At 42.6% G+C, this 20,233-nt stretch overlaps 1 protein-coding gene across 3 annotated transcripts in view, besides 3 other annotated features; it reads left to right on the top strand.

Annotated features, from left to right (window-relative positions):
• BTK (Bruton tyrosine kinase) overlaps positions 215-20,233 on the top strand; it is a 41,347-nt gene continuing 21,328 nt past the window's right edge. Inside the window, exons 1-5 of one of the 3 annotated variants that reach the window (NM_001287345.2) lie at positions 4,820-4,949; positions 12,988-13,152; positions 15,697-15,867; positions 16,377-16,475; positions 19,310-19,378. In NM_001287345.2, coding sequence (NP_001274274.1) covers positions 15,727-15,867; positions 16,377-16,475; positions 19,310-19,378 — 309 coding nt within the window. In that variant the 5' untranslated portion in view covers positions 4,820-4,949; positions 12,988-13,152; positions 15,697-15,726. Of the gene's footprint in view, positions 534-4,819; positions 4,950-12,987; positions 13,153-15,696; positions 15,868-16,376; positions 16,476-19,309; positions 19,379-20,233 lie in introns of those variants that run through there. The other 2 variants (NM_001287344.2, NM_000061.3) reach the window with 2 other exon arrangements.
• Positions 304-463: an enhancer, noted in NCBI's record as "active region_29811". NCBI's record gives its function as "activates an Ori minimal core promoter by ATAC-STARR-seq in GM12878 lymphoblastoid cells {active_cell/tissue: GM12878}" and the evidence as "EXISTENCE:reporter gene assay evidence [ECO:0000049][PMID:35858748]".
• Positions 474-533: an enhancer, noted in NCBI's record as "active region_29810". NCBI's record gives its function as "activates an Ori minimal core promoter by ATAC-STARR-seq in GM12878 lymphoblastoid cells {active_cell/tissue: GM12878}" and the evidence as "EXISTENCE:reporter gene assay evidence [ECO:0000049][PMID:35858748]".
• Positions 5,334-5,553: an enhancer, noted in NCBI's record as "active region_29809". NCBI's record gives its function as "activates an Ori minimal core promoter by ATAC-STARR-seq in GM12878 lymphoblastoid cells {active_cell/tissue: GM12878}" and the evidence as "EXISTENCE:reporter gene assay evidence [ECO:0000049][PMID:35858748]".

Raw genomic sequence — 20,233 nt, 5'->3', positions numbered from 1 at the left:
AAACCGCGAGGCAAACGGAAGTATATAGGAGGTTCCCGATCGCACTTCCTCATGGGAGTCGGTAGGAGCAATCATAGAGTGTAAGGCTCAGCGCAGCGCCCTCGGGCGGCTGAGAGGACTCAGTTCGGAGCCGCGGGCGGGAGCTTAAGGAAGGACTCCGCCTAAAGGGTGGTCCACTCACCCCGACTTCCTCCCGCCCCGCAGCTTTCAACGTTTCGTCACTTTATCTCTTTTGGTGGACTCTGCTACGTAGTGGCGTTCAGTGAAGGGAGCAGTGTTTTTCCCAGATCCTCTGGCCTCCCCGTCCCCGAGGGAAGCCAGGACTAGGGTCGAATGAAGGGGTCCTCCACCTCCACGTTCCATTCCTGTTCCACCTCAAGGTCACTGGGAACACCTTTCGCAGCAAACTGCTAATTCAATGAAGACCTGGAGGGAGCCAATTGTTCCAGTTCATCTATCACATGGCCAGTTGGTCCATTCAACAAATGGTTATTGGATGCCCATTATGTGGCAGGCACTGTTCCGGGGGAGAGGTACAGTAATCTAATAGGCTTATAAATGTGCAATTATGAACTAAGTACTTTGAAGAAAAGGAACAATGATTGGCATTAAAGCAGCACCCTTCTGTTGAGGGAGTAAGTCAGCAGCTCTAGGTTCTGAAAAGTGACAATGAAATTGTTTGGCTCCTGTAATAGCAATCATCAAGCCTAGAAGTAGAAAGTACCTAGCGGCTCTTCCCTTCCTTGCAAACCTGGCAGAAGGCATATACTAGGTCTCAAGAGAGTCCAGCATAGAAAGACTTCAGGGTGCTAAACATTTTAAATAGATTGTGTCATACAATTCTCACAATAATTCTAGGAGACAGGTGGTACTATTATTCTCATTTTACAGATTAAGAAATTGAGGCTGTAGGATGTTAAACGATTTGCCCAATGTCAACGGTATTTAGTGAATCTAGGATACAAACCCAAGTAGACTGACTCTAGAGCCCGCGTTCCTTTAACATTATAAAATATTGCTGTTGTGGCCTGGTAATTATAATAGCTAAAAAAATTATGGCGCACTTACTATATGCCAGGCATTCTCCTAACCACCTTACATACTACCCCTTTTAATCCTGACAGCAACCCCAGGAGGTATATACCAGTATTAGTATTTAACAGGTGAGGAAACTGAGGCACAAGAGATGTTAAGTTTACTTACCTGAAGTCACACAGGTTGTTATTTTTTTGTGGAGCTGGAATTTGATCCTAGGTAGTCTAACACTATAGCCTTGCACTTAACCACTACATCATACAAAGGAAGCAGGGGCATCTGCAGTGTAGAGGATGGTGAGGAGACAGAATTGGGCTGAGACACAGGAGGAGGTGGCAGTGGAATAGGGGCTGAAGAACCGTGAGAGTCTGGGGTATCTTGCTTGCACAACCCTCCAGGAACACGCGTGGGACCTGAGCTGACACTCTGATCACCCCCTTTTTTGTTGGGTGGTCTCTGGGAATGAGATAATAAATATATTACCACTACCTGCTACATTTCCTGAAAATTTCTTTGCCAAACTTCCAGCATTTTCTTTTTCTTTCCAGATTCTTAAGCAATCTCACTGGCCTTTAGGGGTTTATGTTAGTAACATGGAAATATGAAGACCGTGAACATGGCCCCTCTTCATTTAATCAACCTTAGTTCTTTCTATCATATCTGGTGTTATGTGGCTTTGTGGGGGTTTTGCTTGTTTTTGTTTACTTAAAAATATTTAATTGACAAAAATTGTTTATATTCAAGGTGTACAACATGATGATTTGATATGTGTATACACTGTGTAATGATTACCACAGTCAAATTGATTAACACATCTATCATCCATCACCATCCATAGTTACCATGGGGGTGGTGAGGACACTTAAAATCTGCTCTCTTATCAAATTTCAATAATACAGTATTATTAACTATGGTCACTATATTGCACATTAGATCCCCAGAGCTTATACATCCTATAAGTGAAAGTTTGTACACCAATGCTGACACCGAGGTGGGAGGATCGCTTGAGCTGTTCTCTGTTTTGGACATGCTCCTGCTCATTAATTTCCCCTAAGACGAGGCACTCAGAACTGAATGCAGGACTCTAGGTGTGGTCTGGCTTTGCAGAGTAAGTGGCATGTTACCTTCCTCTGTCTAGATATTTTACTTCCATAAGGAAGCCTCAATGTCACCTTGGCTTTTCTGGAAGCCATGTTAACTGATGACATGCCTTTTGATTACTATCAGCAAAAACCCCTGAACCATTTTCACAAATGCTACTGCTACTCCACTTTCTCCTGGAGTCATTTGAAGTTCAAATTTGGGGCCCAATTATGAGACATCACCTTTAGCCCTGGTAAAATACACTTTGTGGAATTTGGCTTCTCACACCAGGTGATCAAGATCTTTTTGGGAACTAATTGCCCTCTTCTGTCATCCAGTCTAGCACACAAAGCCTTGCACCATTCATAGACTAACCGGGCTACTTTTTATATTTTCCTCAAAGATGATCAATAAAAATGCTGAACAGGATAGCACCAAGAATAGAACCTTATATTGCATTGGGAATCTCTTCAGGTGACACTCAGCTGTTTATTTGCACTATCTGAGTACAGTCTTTCTGTCAGTATGGATGAGTGTGCTAGGGGAGTGGTCGTGGGCAGAGGGTGAAGAAAAGCCTACGTCTACTTGCTCTTTTCCCTTGTGCTCCTCTCTCTCTCTTGTTTAGCTCTCCCATTGGATGCCTATCACCTCCCAGTCCCCACCCCAAGATGGATCTTGAGAAAGGACAGGGCATGTGACAACAAGTGGCATAAGACTGAAGAAAAGAGCCTGGGCACGGTGGCTCACGCATGTAATCCCAGCACTTTGGGAAGCTGAGGCGGGTGGATCACGAGGTCAGGAGATCGAGACCATCCTGGCTAACATGGTGAAACCCCGTCTCTACTAAAAATACAAAAAATTAGCCAGGCGTGGTGGCAGGCACCTGTAGTCCCAACTACTCAGGAGACTGAGGCAGGACAATGGCGTGAACCCGGGAGGTGGAGCTTGCAGTGAGCCGAGATCATGCCACTGCACTCCAGCCTGGGCGACAGGGCAAGACTCCGTCTCAAAAAAAAAAAAAACTGAAGAAAAGAGGAGGGAAGATGAATGCCTGTGGCCAACCCTCAGGCAGGTGAGTGGAACAGCTATTGGGGGTGACTAGCGAAAGGATAGACGTTGTCAATAAAGTAAGGCAATCATACAACACATGCTGTCCATCTGTCTTGTGCAAATGTGAGTATCAACCACTCTATCATCAGTCTACAAATACTTTAAATGTTTTTATTTAAAGTCCTGTTGATGGCTGGGAGAGGTGGCTCACTCCTGTAATCCCTGCATTTTGGGAGGCCAAGGCAGGAGTATCGCTTGAGCCCAGGAGTTTGAGACCAGCCTGGGCAACATAGTGAAACCCCATCTCTACAAAAAGTAGAAAAATTAGCCCAGCACAGTGATGTGTGCCTATAGTCCCAGGTACTAGGGTGACTGAGGTGAGAGGATCACTTGAGCCCAGGAGGTGGAGGCTGCAGTGAGCCATGATCACGCCACTGCACTCCAACCTGGGCTTCAGAGCAAGACCCTGTCTCAAAAAAAAAAAAAAAAAAAAAAGGTCCCAGGGCCTGTTGGGGCTTGGGGGTGAGGGGAGGGATCTTAGAGGATGGGTCAATAGGTGCAGCAAATCACCATGTCACACATATACCTATGTAACAAACTTGCACCTTCTGCACATATACCCCATTTTTTTTGTTTGCTTGTTTGTTTGTTTTTTAGACAAAATAAAGAAAAAAAAATAAGGTCCTGTTGACTTAAAACTTCGGATGAAATTGTAGTGGGACCTGTGATCTGTTTCTACATTAGGATACAGTGCCTTGGGGCAAGGAAATATGGCAGTGCCCGAGGTGTCAAGGTGGGCAGGCAGATCAGTCAGCAGGGGCTCCACCATCATGGTCTGCATTCAATACTGGCTGCATTTCCTAGGAGAATCCCTGGGGGAATCATTGCAGTTGGAGCATAATGTAGGGGGCCCCTGAGAAAACCTCCAGGCTTCAAGTGACATACCTAGTCTGCTTTACCGGTTTACAGGACTCAAGAGAAAGGTGGACATTGAGAGTTAATCCCTGAGGCCAAATCTTAAATGGAGAAAGTCAACATCCACAGAAAATGGGGAAGGGCACAAGTATTTCTGTGGGCTTATATTCCGACATTTTTATCTGTAGGGGAAAAATGCTTTCTTAGAAAATGACTCAGCACGGGGAAGTCTTGTCTCTACCTCTGTCTTGTTTTGTCCTTTGGGGTCCCTTCACTATCAAGTTCAACTGTGTGTCCCTGAGACTCCTCTGCCCCGGAGGACAGGAGACTCGAAAAACGCTCTTCCTGGCCAGTCTCTTTGCTCTGTGTCTGCCAGCCCCCAGCATCTCTCCTCTTTCCTGTAAGCCCCTCTCCCTGTGCTGACTGTCTTCATAGTACTTTAGGTATGTTGTCCCTTTACCTCTGGGAGGATAGCTTGATGACCTGTCTGCTCAGGCCAGCCCCATCTAGAGTCTCAGTGGCCCCAGTCATGTTGAGAAAGGTTCTTTCAAAGATAGACTCAAGATAGTAGTGTCAGAGGTCCCAAGCAAATGAAGGGCGGGGACAGTTGAGGGGGTGGAATAGGGACGGCAGCAGGGAACCAGATAGCATGCTGCTGAGAAGAAAAAAAGACATTGGTTTAGGTCAGGAAGCAAAAAAAGGGAACTGAGTGGCTGTGAAAGGGTGGGGTTTGCTCAGACTGTCCTTCCTCTCTGGACTGTAAGAATATGTCTCCAGGGCCAGTGTCTGCTGCGATCGAGTCCCACCTTCCAAGTCCTGGCATCTCAATGCATCTGGGAAGCTACCTGCATTAAGTCAGGACTGAGGTGGGTCTGGGGTATGGCAGGGGCTGGGCAGCAGCAGCAATGTACCTTGCTTGGGACCCCTAAAAACCAGAGAGACAGCATGGCTGGTGCCATTTATCAGCTAGTGGAGGAGGCTGACGGAGGGTGGGAGTGTCATCAGCACAAGGCCCTGGCAGTCCCTTCTGGTGATTAGAGAGGCCGAAAGGGTCCTTTCCGACAAGGGCTGAGGGTGGGCGGAACAGGAAGAGAAAAATGTGACATGAGGTGACCATCCGAACAGGTAGCAAATGTTAGAAAGGGGTACCTCTGGCAAACTTAGTGGAAAAGTAATATTGCAGGGAGCAGTCAGATAAAAACAAGCCCTTCTGTCAAATAGTGCTTGAAGACTCAATAGGGATACATGGGTCAATGAAGCCTTTAGAAAAAGAAATACTAAGAGGCAGATTCTCTGAGAACATGGTAAAAGCTCACGCTCCACGTTATGAAGTTGACCTTTGTGAGCTAGGGAAAGGCCTGGCTAGGCCAGGGTGTAGGCTACCTGCCTTGAGCTGTACCAGGCCAAATGTCGCCAGGGTCAGAGCTGGCTTATTAAAGGACTGTGTGGAAGCTGTGCCAACCTCGTGGTAACAATGGGTAAAAGACTGGGCCAGGAGAAAGCAGCCTCTGCCTCAGCCCAGACAGTGCGGCCAACCCTTGAGGTTGTGGCAAAGGTTTCTCCTCTTACCATTGCCCTCCATGTGCATGGCTTGCTTTTCTCTTGTCTTCATTATTTCTCCTTTCCTTTCCTCCTCTCCAACCTCCTCCTCTTCCCACTCATCCTCTTTTCTCTACCTATATCCCCTCTTCATTATACCCTCCTCTGTTCTGTTGATTACCAGACCCTGACATACAGTTAGCACTTAACAAATAATTGCCGAATTGCATTGACTTTTTCTTGCTCCTTTCTTCCCCCGCTCTTTTCCCTTTTCCTTTCCCTTTCCATTTCCTCCTCCCTGCCTGCCTAGCACCTTCCCCATAAGGTGGTTGTGAGCAGTAAATGTGCAAATACATGTAAAGCTTTTAAAACAGGGCCTGGCAATAGTAAGTGCTGGATCTCAGTATTTGCTATAATTTTTACTCTGCCTCAGACCTGCCAATGTCCCCCAGAGGGCCTACCTAGAGCAAATAATATGACATTTAGAATAAAAGTGATTGGTGACCCCAATCAAGACATCCTTGGATAAGTTGCCCAGACTCCAGCCTCTCTGGAGCCTCAGTTATTTGATAAAATAATGTCACTTTCCAAATAAGCCACAAAATGCAAATACTCATGGCAACCTAAAGCATTATACCCAAACAGTGTCCCTTAGGGCTTGTCCTGTCTATTCTGACTCCTTTTATATTCAAACTATTTAAACTGCTTGCTTGTGTTGAAGTCCAAATTTCCATTGCGTATGGCTATTGATATTTTTGTTTGGAATTTTTTTTTTTTTTTTTTGACACGGAGTTTCACTCTTGCTGCCCAGGCTGGAGTGCAATGGCACGATCTCGGGATCTCAGCTCACCGCAACCTCCGCCTCCCGGGTTCAAACAATTCTCCTGCCTCAGCCTCCCAAGTAGCTGGGATTACAGGCATGTGCCACCACGCCCAGCTAATTTTGTATTTCTAGTAGAGACGGGGTTTCTCCATGTTGGTCAGGCTGGTCTCGAACTCCCAACCTCAGGTGATCTGCCTGCTTGGGCCTCCCAAAGTGCTAGGATTACAGGCGTGAGCCACCGCACCCACCCTGGAATTCTTTGTAAACTCCTTATGGTGCGAACTAATGTAACTTTCCATCCAGTTATGGGGGATTGGTGCAATTTTAAATTATCACTATGATTTGCTATTTCCATTTGAGCAAATTTCCTATAGAGTTTCCTTTCAGTGGACTAGACCCATATCAGGAAGTGACTTAGGTATAAAGGGAAGATACAGCTTTCGAAAACCAAAGTTTGGGCGTTCTCCAAAGAGTTATCAGATACCCCCTTCTACACCCACAATGATCTGATTGCTGAGATCTGATTGCTAACTACTGAAAATAAGGAAGAACTAGAATTTTCAGTGACACAGTGCTCAGCAAGAAGCTAGAAAAGAGGCCTTGACATATTTGACTCCAAAGCTACTTGGTTATGCATGAAGCCATCTGGGGAGGGGAAGGAGGAGGGAGAACTCCTCTGAGGACCCTGAAACAATTGGGCCACGTGTGACTTTCAGTTTCTATGGAGATTCATGTGCAGTGGCTGAGGGCAATCTGAGAGCATTGGAAACCCAGAAGCTTTAATACCAGGCTCTTCTCTCCGCTCTTAGAAAGTTCTCACAAGATGTCTTTAGGATTATATTGGTTATTTGAATCTCAAGGAGAAGCTCCTCTCACTGCCCTACCTCCCTGAACTGAAAACAAACTGTAGTCTGTTAGCTCACCCTAGAAGAAGGAAATTCTAGAGTCAAGAGAAGTTAAGTTTTAGACAAGCTGGAAGTTGGAATATACTGGAGTTTAAGATCATTGACTCAATGAAAAAAAAAAAAGATTTGTCTGCAGTAAAACCAGAGTTTTAAAAATGATTAGAAATGGACCAGAAAAGAGATAAGGATAATGAGAAAGGGGGCTCTCTAAAACTATTTGGAACTGAAATTGGGACAATGTTTCTGGAAACTATTTTGGCAGTATGTATCAAAATGCAAAATGCACATACTTTTTTGACTCTGGAAATGATGCTTGTATAGAGATCCTAATAACATGGGAAAATAATTAGGAATAATGTTAAATAAGAACATTAGATCTTTTTTTGGAAAAAGGTACCTTGAACGGATGGATGGATGGATAGATACATACATACATGCATACATACATACATAGATGTTACGAAAAATAGGTAAATTAACTGAATGTGCAATATGATCTCAAATATTATAAGAAACACACACAGAAAAAAATGGAAGGAATATGCCGATATATTAATGCCTCTGGATGAGTTTATGAATGATTTTTTCTTTTTTATATCCCTGTACTTGACATATTTTCTACAATAAGCATGTTTTATTTTACTATATTTTGTTTTATTTTGAGATGGGGGTCTCCCTATGTTTCTCAGGCTGACCTTGAACTCTTGGGCTCAAGCAATCCTCCAATATCAGCCTCCTGAGTAGCTGGGACTACAGGTGCACCCCACTGCACCCAGCTGCGTGTGTTATTTTGATATCGATGGAAAAAATAAATAAAATGTTTAAGCCAAGGAAAACAAAAACTAGGTTGAAAAAGAAGGCCAAAAGGGCACACAAGTCCAGAGTGAAAGACAGACACCCCAGCAGTCACCCTCAGAGCAGAGGGAGAATATTGAAAGTATTACCACTGATCTGATCTGGCACTGACTATAAACTTGCAGATTGGCTCTCTGGCTCTCCTTCCATCATCAGTTGGCCAGAATATATTGTCGCTAATGCAAGACAAAAAGAGATGATGAATCACAGAGACCTAGAAGTTTCCAAAACCACAGAAGAAAAATGTAAAATGCTAAAAACATAAGGCCAGGCGCGGTGGCTCAAGCCTGTAATCCCAGCATTTTGGGAGGCCGAGGCAGGTGTCATGGTGTGCGGCTGTAGTCCAAGCTACTCAGGAGGCTGAGGCAAGAGAATTGCTTGAAACTGGGAGGTAGCGATTGCAGTGAGCCAAGATTGCGCTACTGTACCGAAGCCTGGATGACAGAGCGAGACTCTGTCTCAAAAATAAATAAATAAATAAATAAATAAATAAAACATGAACTGCTGTGGAAGAACCAGAGAGCCCTAAGGCCTCCTGTAAATGACTACAGCAGGAGAGTTTCCCTGGTCAGCATGCAGCTTTCGAAAATTGAGTTTGGCTTGATGCCTTCATCACAAATTTGGTCCCCTGTAGCCTTGACTATGAAGCTTATCATAAAATAATTGGGTTTCACTGGGGCCCGAACAAAAGCATCTTGGGAATTTAACAAGATTAAAGGTTGCTTTGTTGCTGTGGGTATGATTTTTTTTTCTTTTTTCTTTTTTTTTTTTTTTGAGACGGAGTCTGACTCTGTCACCCAGGCTGGAGTGCAGTGGCACGATCTCGGCTCACTGCAACCTCCGCCTCCTGGGTTCAAGCAATTCTCCTGCCTCAGCCTCCTGAGTAACTGGGATTACAGGTGCGCGCCACCACGCCAGGCTAATTTTTGTATTTTTAGTAGAGACAGGGTTTCTCCATGTTGGTCAGGCTGGCTGCTCTCAAACTCCTGACCTTGCCATCCAGCCGCCTCAGCCTCCCAAAGTGCTGGGATTACAGGCATGAGCTACCACACGTGGCCATATGTAAATTTTAAACATGTAAACCAATACTGTATATCTTTTATAGATATTTACATCTGTAATGATAATATGAAAACGTACCTAGGAATGATAAACACCAAATTCAAGATATTGGTAATCTCTAAGGAGGGAGAAGACTAAGATTTTGGAGTACATAAAGGGGTCTTGATTATATAGATAGTATTTCAGTTCTTAACACGTTCTCTTCTGGTCCCAAGGCCAAGGAATTCTCAATTGAAATCTCAGTTAGAACGTGAAGGATGCTTCTTGGGACTGGGAAGAGATTTTCCGTAGGCCAAATTTAACCTCCCACTAGAGATAGTTGATAATTCTACCACATTTCATAGTGAAGCATCAGGAAGACAGGACTGAAAAGGCAAGAAGGAATGATGCAAATTGCATAGTCCAAAAGATAAGCTGGACCTAGGTTTGCCAGTTTGTCTAAGTAACTGAGAATTCATTCTGAGATCAAAAAATCAAAATAATGTTCACAGCAGCATTGTTTATCACTGAAAGCAAACAACCTAAATGTCCATCAACAGGAGAATGAATAAATATATTGGAATGTATTCATCATATAGAATATTTTATGCATATAAAAATGAATTAAAACATATGAAGTAGAACTAGCCAGATAAATAAATCCTAACATATTATATTGAGGGGAAAAAAGCAAGTTGCTGGAGAATGTGTACCATATATATATATATAAATTTTCTTTTTTTTTTTTTTTTTTTTTCGCGACCGAGTTTCACTCTTGTTGCCCAGGCTGGAGTGCAATGGCAAGATCTCGGCTCACTGCAACCTCTGCCTCCCGGGTTCAAGGGATTCTCCCGCCTCAGCCTCCTGAGTAGCTGGGAGAGTAGCGTTGGCCCAGCTAGTTTTTGTATTTTTAGTAGAGACAGGGTTTCTCCATGTTGGTCAGGCTGGCTGCTCTCAAACTCCTGACCTTGTCATCCACCCGCCTCAGCCTCCCAAAGTGCTGGGATTACAGGCCTGAGTTACCGCACCTGGCCATATGTAAATTTTAAACATGTAAACCAATACTATATATCTTTTATAGATACTTACATCTGTAATAATAATATGAAAACATACCTAGGAATGATAAACACCAAACTCAAGATATTGGTAATCTCTATGGAGGGAGAAGACTAAGATTTTGGAGTACATAAAGGGGTCTTGATTATATAGATTGTATCTCACTTCTTAACACGTGAGGCAATATGGCACAATTTTAGGATTTTGTAGAGCTAAGCGGTGAGTCCAAGATTGTAATGTTATAGTCCCTGTACTTTCTATTTGAAATATTTCATAATATAAAACAAAGTATATTTGAGGCCAGGTGCAGCAGCTCATGCCTGTAATCCCCACACTTTGGAAGGCTGAGACAAGAAGATCACTTGCATCCAGGAGTTTGAGACTAGCCTAGGCAACAAAGTGAGACCCGTGTCTCTACAAAAAAATTAAAAATTAGCTGGGTGTGGTAGTGCACACCTGTAGTCCCAGCTACTTGAGAGGCTGAGGCAGGAGGATCGCTTGAGCCCAGGAGGTGGAGGCTGCAGTGAGTGGTGATCTTGCTACTGCACTCCATCCTGGGTGACAGAGTGAGACCCTGTCTCAAAAAAATAGAAGGTATATTTGATCAAAGTTTTATATTCACAGTAAGCAATAAGAACCCTAGGGACAGAGAAGGGTGGATGTTCCACCTAAACACTGTGCTTTCATTCCATCAACAATGAAACATCCAGGAAAGGAAACAACAAGTGACTCTAGAAATTCACTAGTTAGACAGAATCTCCTTGGGAATGATTTAAAGAGGGAAAATGTAAGAAAACCTGGCAAGACTAAGAAGAGTCCTCAAGTGCAAAAAAAGTATAGTTGACAGTTACCAGAGACAGATCATCCTTACCAGCCTGGAGGAATATTGCAGAGGAAAGAGCTTAGGATCTTGAATACTCTCTTATCTCCTGTATTTACCACCATTTCCTCTCTTGCTGAACATTCCTAGAAAATGGAGAGGAGTTTGTCACAACTGCTCTTTGATGATAGCCATGGAGAATGACAGGGGCCCCAAGGCAGATGGCATCAACCTCATCAAAGACCAAAAAACAAATAAACGAACAAAAATCCCTCCGGTAGGCAGTGAAACACCACAAAAAAAGCAAGGGCTATAGATGATATACCAAGAGCTACAGATGGATGAGGTTGGACAAGTCACATAACCTCTGTGTCAGTTTCCTCATCTGTTTGTTGTGAGGAATAAATGAAATAATGCCTGTAAAATGCCTGTCAGGTAGAAGTCACTGAAAGGAACAGAAGTTCCATTCCATCCCCCTAAGGAAAGACAGGGAATGGCCAGAATCTTCCTAGCCAATTGAGTAGTGCTTTCAAGGAGAAATCAAGAGAAAACACTACTTCTTGGATATTTTGGCTAAGTAGTCATTTGAAGTACAGTTGACTGGTTATTTTATTTTAAATCATATCTCATAGACTCTTCCCAATCATAGGCTGGCTGTGTAGTTTTCTGAATTTTGCTCTGGTATTCTTCTTCTTTTTTTTTTTTATTTTTATTTTTTATTTTTTTTTTGAGACTCCAGGCTGGAGTGCAGTGTCACGATCTTGGCTCACTGCAACCTCCGCCTCCCGAGTTCAAGCGATTCTCCTGCCTCAGCCTCCTGAGTTGCTGGGACTACAGGCGCCTGTCACCACGCCCGGCTAATTTTTTGTATTTTAATAGAGACGGGATTTCACCATGTTGGCCAGGCTGGTCTCTAACTCCTGACCTCAAGTGATCCGCCAGCCTCAGCCTCCCAAAGTGCTGGGATTACGGGCATGAGCCACTGCGCCTGGACTTATTATTCTTAATAGTATTTTATCTTATGAGCGAAGATAAGAGCCCAAGATGGTTTAGTTTACTGATTCTGCAAGTGCTATTTCTATTAATTCCTTGGCATACTGCAGTTTGTATGATGGCTGCACTCTTGTTAATAAGCTTCGTCTTTCTGAATTCTGTTGCTCCATAGGGAGCTGGGAGGCTGCAAAAGGTGGCCCTGTAAAAATCTTTGCATTTATAATTTAATAAAGGGGACATTGTAACACTGGAACTCCATATTTTAAATGAAGAGCTCTGTGTCTATTTTTTCTCCTCCCCCATTTCTTTCTTTCTATAAACAACAGTGGTGTGTGTGTGTGTGTGTGTGTGTGTGTGTGTGTGTCTGTATGTTTGAGACATTCAAGTCACTTCCATTTCCACCCTTCACCCTGAGTGGAGCTCAGGGTTAGCCATCATTGTGCATATTTTGTGGTCAAACCGACTCTGTAGGCTACTGAAATTGTTTTAAAAAAATTGGGGCCTTTACTGGCCAGGCACGGTGGCTCATACCTGTAATTCCAGCACTTTGGGAGGCCAAGGTAGGCAGGTCACCTGAGGTCAGGAGTTCAAGACCAGCCTGGCCAACATGGGGAAACCCCACCTCTACTAAAAATACAAAAATTAGCCAGGTGTGGTGGCACACGCCTGTAATCCCGGCTACTTGGGAGGCCGAGGCAGGAGAATTGCTTGAACCCAGGAGATGGAGGTTGCAGTGAGCCAAGATCGTGCCACTGCACTCCAGCCTGGGCAACAAAGCAAGATTCCGTCTCAAAAAAAAAAAAAAAAAATGGGGCCTTTCACAATAAGTACCCACAGAAGCTTTACCCTCTAACTACTTTTTAACTCAGAGCTGTGTGTTACACACCAACCTTCTGGAGGACTCAAAAATGGATCCCTTTCCTTTCACATTATTGAGTGATGGACCAGTGGCACCTAAGGAAGAGCTACCACATTTTCAGGCTGTGTGAGTCTGGACTGGATCATAAGAAACAGGAGAAAAGCAGTCAAAGAAGGTGGTACCAAATCATGGCAATTCTGGTAGACCTCTAGCTCAATGATCTAGAGGTGGAGGCCATTTCACCTTTTGCTCAGAGGGGCGATGGCTAGTGAGAGACTTGCTTACTTCCTCATAGTCAGAGCAGCACTAAACCCTGCCCAAACACAGATACTTGAGAGAGAGGAAGACTTCCTCTTGTACAAACTGGATTTGTTCTAAAACAGAGAAAGAGTAGAGGCAGCTTCCAGAAGGACCTGTCTTATAGGAAGTAAGAGCAGGGGACAAGAATGAAACAGATGGTGGGTCTAAGCAGGGAATGTATCCACCAAGAGCCTGCAACAAAACTAAAGATAAAATGTTGCCTGCGATTTATTCGGCTAAGAGAAGTACACCAGACATGGTTTGTTGGGATGCTTCTGACCCCATTTACTGGTCACAGTACTCAATTTATTTAGGGTTTTATTTTTTATCCTGTAATTTGAGTCTTTGATTGTGAAGAGGTACTTAATTATAATTTGCCACAAGAATAATTGTGGTATGATTACAGGGCTCTCAATGAGTTGGTAGTTCCTGAGAATAGAGTAGTATTATTTGGTTACCACTACTCCTGAGTAAATGCATAATTGTAATGTTAAAATGAACCTCTTTGAGTTTAGAGCTAAAACTGAGTGTTGGGAAGGGCTGATTGTAAACTCATCAATTTGTCACTCCAGTGAGAGACCATTTAAACCAGGGAGTCAGGGTGTGTGGCAGGGTGGAGGGAAAGGTTTGCACTCTTGCCCAATTTTTCTCAAAATCTAATTTACAAAATATTGAATTAATCCACCTCCAGAAGATAGTGGCATACACATGGTAGATAAGTGGCAAAGCGATCTTCCAGAACACCCCTGGTGTTCCTTTGACGTATTTTCGTCTCCCCAGCATGAGAATAGAACCTCCTACACCACAGGAAAGAGCAAAATAACAGTGTGGATAGCCCCCAGGCTTTGATAAAATTCACTCCCTTGCTTTCCTAGTGTGAGCAATAATCTGCTTAAAAAGTAGAAAAAAACTGCTGGCTTTATTCATTCTGCTTCCACGGTGCCACCAAAAGCATAAGGAGTTTACTTAAAAAATAGACACATTCCCACCCCCACCCCCCCACCAGAGGAAAAATCCCTACCACTAATTAAACTTGAATGGAGGGCTGGTGGTTTTTTCGTTACTTACTTAGTGTTTTTTTGTTGTTGTTTTTGATTTTGTTTTTTGAGACGGAGTTTCGCTCTTGTTGCCCCGACTGGAGTATAATGGCACAATCTCGGCTCACTGCAACCTCCGCCTCCTGGGTTCAAGCGATTCTCCTGCCTCAGCCTCCCGAGTAGCTGGGATTACAGGCATCCACCACTACGCCCGGCTATTTTTGTATTTTTAGTAGAGACGGGGTTTTGCCATGTTGGCCAGGTTGGTCTTGAACTGTTGACCTCAGGTGATCCGCCAGCCTCGGCCTCCCAAAGTGCTGGGATTACAGATGTGAGCCACCGCGCCGGCCTAGTGTTCTATTTTTATGACAGCATTTGTTTTCACTTTATCTTTCCAATGAAAGTTCGGAATTAGTAATAATATTACACTGTGCATAAACTGTAAGTGAATAACTGATATGAAGTGTTGCTTGGTGTGAATAAAAAAGCCAGTGGTGACTTTGGGAACTTTATTTGTCTTTCTGTGTTTCAGTTACCTAAATTGAATCCTTCTGGAGTATTGTAGGTTTGGGGAGGCTAAATAAGTTGTGTTTCATAAATGAACAGAGGTGGCATCTATATCAGTAAGACAGTTGCATCACTTTTGCATGATGCTGTCTAAAAGAACTAATTTAAGCTAAATGGGGAAAAGGTCAGAAAACAACAACTACCCCCCCCCCACCAAAACCCACCAAAAAAAATTATGTTTTCAACTTTAGAACAAATCTTCTATCCTTTGTAGCTCAGTCAGTGGGTGTGGGCAAAATCAGTTGGGCAGCAGTTAGTGTGTGTCCAGAACTGCAGGTGCAGCCTCCATATCCTTATTAGTTCCCTTGGTTACAGACCCCAGTGGGACAATGTTTGAAAAATTATATTCACCGTCTAGGAAATTGGGAACTGAAAGTCCAATATCTGCCTCAGTGGAGTTCTGGCACCTGCATTATCCCTTCTGGGTATATCAAGATCAACAGCTGCACAGATACTTTTGCTTTTCACAGATTCTACACATATCATATAAAGGTGAATAGTGTAAAGCTACCTCTACACCTTACCAAGCACACAGGTGCGTGCCATTTAACATCTAGAGCATTCCATTGCCTTATACAAGAACTCAGTTTATATGAGCTCACAACATCGAACCAATCCCCCCCCAATTCAGTGTGCATCCATTATACCTGAAACCTGACAGAGCTGGGGGCTGTGGGAGGAGGTTGGTAGGAAGAAATTATTTTGTGAGCTGTGCACATTTTTGTTCCATTTGAAACTAGGTAGCTAGGCTGAGGGGGAACCAAGAGGGATGAGGATTAATGTCCTGGGTCCTCAGGAACTTTCATTATCAACAGCACACAGGTGAACTCCAGAAAGAAGAAGCTATGGCCGCAGTGATTCTGGAGAGCATCTTTCTGAAGCGATCCCAACAGAAAAAGAAAACATCACCTCTAAACTTCAAGAAGCGCCTGTTTCTCTTGACCGTGCACAAACTCTCCTACTATGAGTATGACTTTGAACGTGGGGTAAGTTTCTCGACTATGAAAACTGAGTTTCAAGATATCAAGGACTTGGCCTTAGATCTTTCTTGGGGAAGAGGTAAATTTTCGTTGGTAGGAGGAGGGGAGTAGAATGGACCTAAGTTCTTTCAAATTCAGCAAAATATTTCCTAGCCTATAACTAGCTAAAGCCGGAAAGTCAAAGGTCCTAAGAAGCCACAAGGAAAATATTACCATGGAATCTTGGAATTGATGAGCACTCATTAAATGATTGTTGAAAATGAAATCGAAGAGTTGGAAATTGCTTCCTTACTTCCTATGAGGAAGGTACATACAGTCATTCACTCTTCCATGGTATTTGCCCTCCATTTGGTAGTCATAGATTTATAGATCTGGAAGGATTTTTTTTTCTTCCCCCACATGACAGGTCCTGGTGCCACCTCACTTTGTTGAATGATTAGATAACAAAATCTAATCATCTGGTTGCTTAATCCCTCTTAATCTTTCTCCATTTTCTTCCTCATTCTACTTCTCAGAGAAGAGGCAGTAAGAAGGGTTCAATAGATGTTGAGAAGATCACTTGTGTTGAAACAGTGGTTCCTGAAAAAAATCCTCCTCCAGAAAGACAGATTCCGGTAAGAAGAGACCAATGTCTGAGATGGGGAACAGCAGATTTGAAGAAATTTGCAACATTTAAATTCTCTGTAAATAGACTGGTGATGCTGTGCAACGTGGAACACGGTCAAGTTTCCTTTAAAAATTCTTCACTCTACCATATTGGTTATAAAGAATCTTAGCTTCTTTCCTTCATATTCAGAACATCTCACTAAACATGGAAAATTTGTTAACACAAACTTTTAAATGATGCTATATCTAGTTTTCAAACTGGTCAGAGATCATTGATTTTATTCCCTCAGTTCTCTCAGGATCAGATTTAGAGGCTTAAGTAAGTCTGAATGTCATAATCCTAGGGCTCTGAGTCACATGATATCCTTTAATACCTTACTATTTATTCTCTTCTCACTTTCCGGAGCGAGAGACATAAAACCTACTGATTTTTGAGTTCACTTTTAAAAAATATATATCAATTTCAGTATTTTCTTTTTTTCTTTTTTTTTTCTTTTTTTAGACAGAGTCTCGCTCTGTTGCCCAGGCTGGAATGCACTGGTGCCATCTTGGCTCACTGCAACCTTCACCTCCCGGGTTCAAGCAATTCTCATGCCTCAGCCTCCCAAGTAGCTGGGATTACAGGTGTGCACCACCATGCCTGGCTAATTTTTCGTATTTTTTTAGTAGAGACGGGGTTTCACCATGTTGGCCAGGCTGGTCTTGAACTCCTGGCCTCAAGTGATCCGCCTGTCTCGGCCTCCCAAAGTGCAAAGATTACAGGCGTGAGCCACCCACTGGGTCTGACCATTTTCAGTATTTTCTTGATCACAGGAGAATTGCGTATTTATTACAGAAACTCTGGAATATATAAAAAATACAAAAAGATTAAAATGATGCATAATCCTGTTACCCAGTTAAAACAACTATCAACATATTGGTGTACATAGACTTACAGATGTTTTTCTTCACTGAGAACACATACGCATACACTTATATATATGTCATATATTTAAAACATAGACTCATAGTACACATCTTGCTTTGTAACGTACTTTTTCAATGTAACGATATGTGGGAAACTTTTCCCCATGACAATAGATATTCTTTAATAACATGATTTTAATGACTGTATGGTATTCCCTATTATGGATGTATTGTAATTTGTTTAATCTCCCATTATTACACATTCGGTTTGTCTACAAGTACTTGATAGTATAAACCATGTTGAGAGGAACAATCTTGCATACATCTTTCTGTACTTTTTTTATTCTTTTCCTTATGATAATTTCCTAGAAGTAAAATTTTGTTCTTCTCTTTAAGAAAATCTGTGCACTTTGGTTATTTTTATCTTTTTATTTCATTTTCTAGAAGTGGAATTGAATTTCATACACACCTACAAGCTATGTATGAGAGTGCCTGTTTCTGTACATTTTTTCCAACACTAGATATTTTGTTATTTTTATTATTATTATTATTTTCTGAGATGGAGTCTCGCTGTGTCGCCCAGGCTGGAGTGCAGTGGTGCGATCTCCGCTCACTGTAACCTCTGCCTCCGGTTCAAGTGATTCTCCTGCCCCAGCCTCCTGAGTAGCTGGGACTACAGGCGCCCACCACCACACCCTGCTAATTTTTGTATTTTTAGTAGAGATGGGGTTTCACCAGATTGGTCAGGCTGATCTCAAACTCCTGACCTCAAGTGATCCTCCCACCTCGGCCTCCCAAAGTGCTGGGATTACAGGCGTGAGCCACTGTGCCCAGCCCAACACTAGATATTTTAAATATTAGTTAATTTGACAGCCAAGAAAAATAGCATTTCAGGTGGGGCGTGGTGGCTCACGCCTGTAATCCCAGCACTTTGGGAGGCCAAGGCAGGCGGATCATGAGCAGGAGTTCGAGACCAGCCTGACCAACATGGTGAAACCCCGTCTCTACTAAAAATACAAAAATTAGCTGGGCATGGTGGCGCGAGCCTGTAATCCCAGCTACTCGGGAGGCTGAGGCAGGAGACTCCCTTGAACCCAGGAGGCGGAGGTTGCAGTGAGCCGAGATCGCACCACTGCACATCCAGGCTGGACGACAGAGCAAGACTCCGTCTCAAAAAAAAAAAATAGCATTTTATTGCTAACTTATTTTGCAATTTCTTTTACTCATAAAGTTGGTCTACTGCTCATTTATATTTTATTTGTGAATTGCCCATTAATTTTTGGTCCATTTTTTACATTGAGATGTTTACCTCATTTCTAATACTTTTAAAGAGATCTTGATATAAGAACATTTATCCTTTAACTGTAAAGTATGTTGAAAATGTTTTTCAGTTTATCCTTTATCTTTCAATTTTGTTTATGATGCTTTTTGCCATATAGGGATTTAAAGTCTATGTCATCAAATTAGTTCAGGTTTTTCTTAATAGTTCTAAGTTTCATCCTTATATTAGAAAAAGCTTGCCTCCCACAGGATTATATAAATAATTGCTTATATTTACTCTCAGTCATTCATAGTTTTATTTTTTATATTAAGCTCTTGAATCCATCTGGAATTTTCTTTGGTGTATGGTGTAGCATAGCTACCTAACTCCTCTCCTCCCCACAACGTTAGTGGTTAAATATTTGTCCCAACAACAATTTTTTAGAAACCTCCATTTTCCCAGTGATTTGAAATACCTGAGTCTCTCTTGACTGGGTATGTGTTGGGTCGTATTGGATATGTGTCCCTATTGGCCTATAGAAAGTAATCACTAAGAATCAGCCTTGTCTGTGCAGGAGAAACTTCTGAAGCCACAGCAAAAGGCTTCTAGTACCTAAGGAAATTCAGAAAAGAGCAATGCATCAACCAATAACCATTTTTTCTTATTTCATTACAGAGAAGAGGTGAAGAGTCCAGTGAAATGGAGCAAATTTCAATCATTGAAAGGTTCCCTTATCCCTTCCAGGTGAGTTATTTTCTCTCACCAAATCTCGAAAGGCCCCTGTAACACAATTAGAAGGGGTGGTGGGGTGCAGGGCAGAGGGAAGGCTACGAGGACCCAGTGAATAGAAGTTGAGGTGGACAAGGATGCTGAACCAAGAAATGAGACTGGCATGGGCTAAGAATGTTTGCTTTTCTATTTACCTAATCTAACATAGTTTCTTTTAGTCTCTATACCTCAAAAAGAATACATAGCAGCACCAATTCTATCATAGTGTGTCTTGTCTATGATAACTGCATTGAGAAAGATGCTCTGCTTGTTGAGTGAGCATTTCACTTCCTTCTGGTTCTGACTATCTGTCTAATAGTGGTCATGTGGGTTGAAAAGATAGAAAAGGGGAGTAGTATTAGGAAGTTCAGTATGAGGAAGACTTATTAGACTTATGCATAAACCTAAATTCTGTTGTAATCTGGAAGAGCTGAAGTGCCACATATGCATCTGTTTAGGAGAGCAAGAACTACAAATTTGGTCTTCAGTTTGGCTTGCTTACATCCTGAGAACTCTGTAGGCCACATGTCGTGAATATAGCAGCCTCTGCAACAGTGAAAGCCAGAAAAGGAAGTGGAAAGTCTCAGGGGAGGGGGCTTTCTGTCATGGATTTATGAGCACAGCAAGACTAACAAGCAAAAAGAAAAATGTAAAAGGATCTTGTTCGTGTCCCTGACTATATCAAATTTACGAAACCTTTGAAAGAGGGGTATTTCAGACACAGTTTTTACTACCAATGCCTTTCAACAAGATGACATTGTTTGGCTGCACTAGTGAACAATGCTGAACAGCAGATAATTTTAAATTAATTTATATTTGACTTCAGAATTT

The sequence above is a fragment of the Homo sapiens genome, chromosome X (genome assembly GCF_000001405.40).
Source record: "Homo sapiens chromosome X, GRCh38.p14 Primary Assembly".
In the NCBI taxonomy this organism is placed as follows: domain Eukaryota; kingdom Metazoa; phylum Chordata; class Mammalia; order Primates; family Hominidae; genus Homo; species Homo sapiens.
The sequence above is the reverse complement of the archived record's forward strand: the minus strand, read 5'-3'. Positions and strand labels throughout refer to the sequence as shown.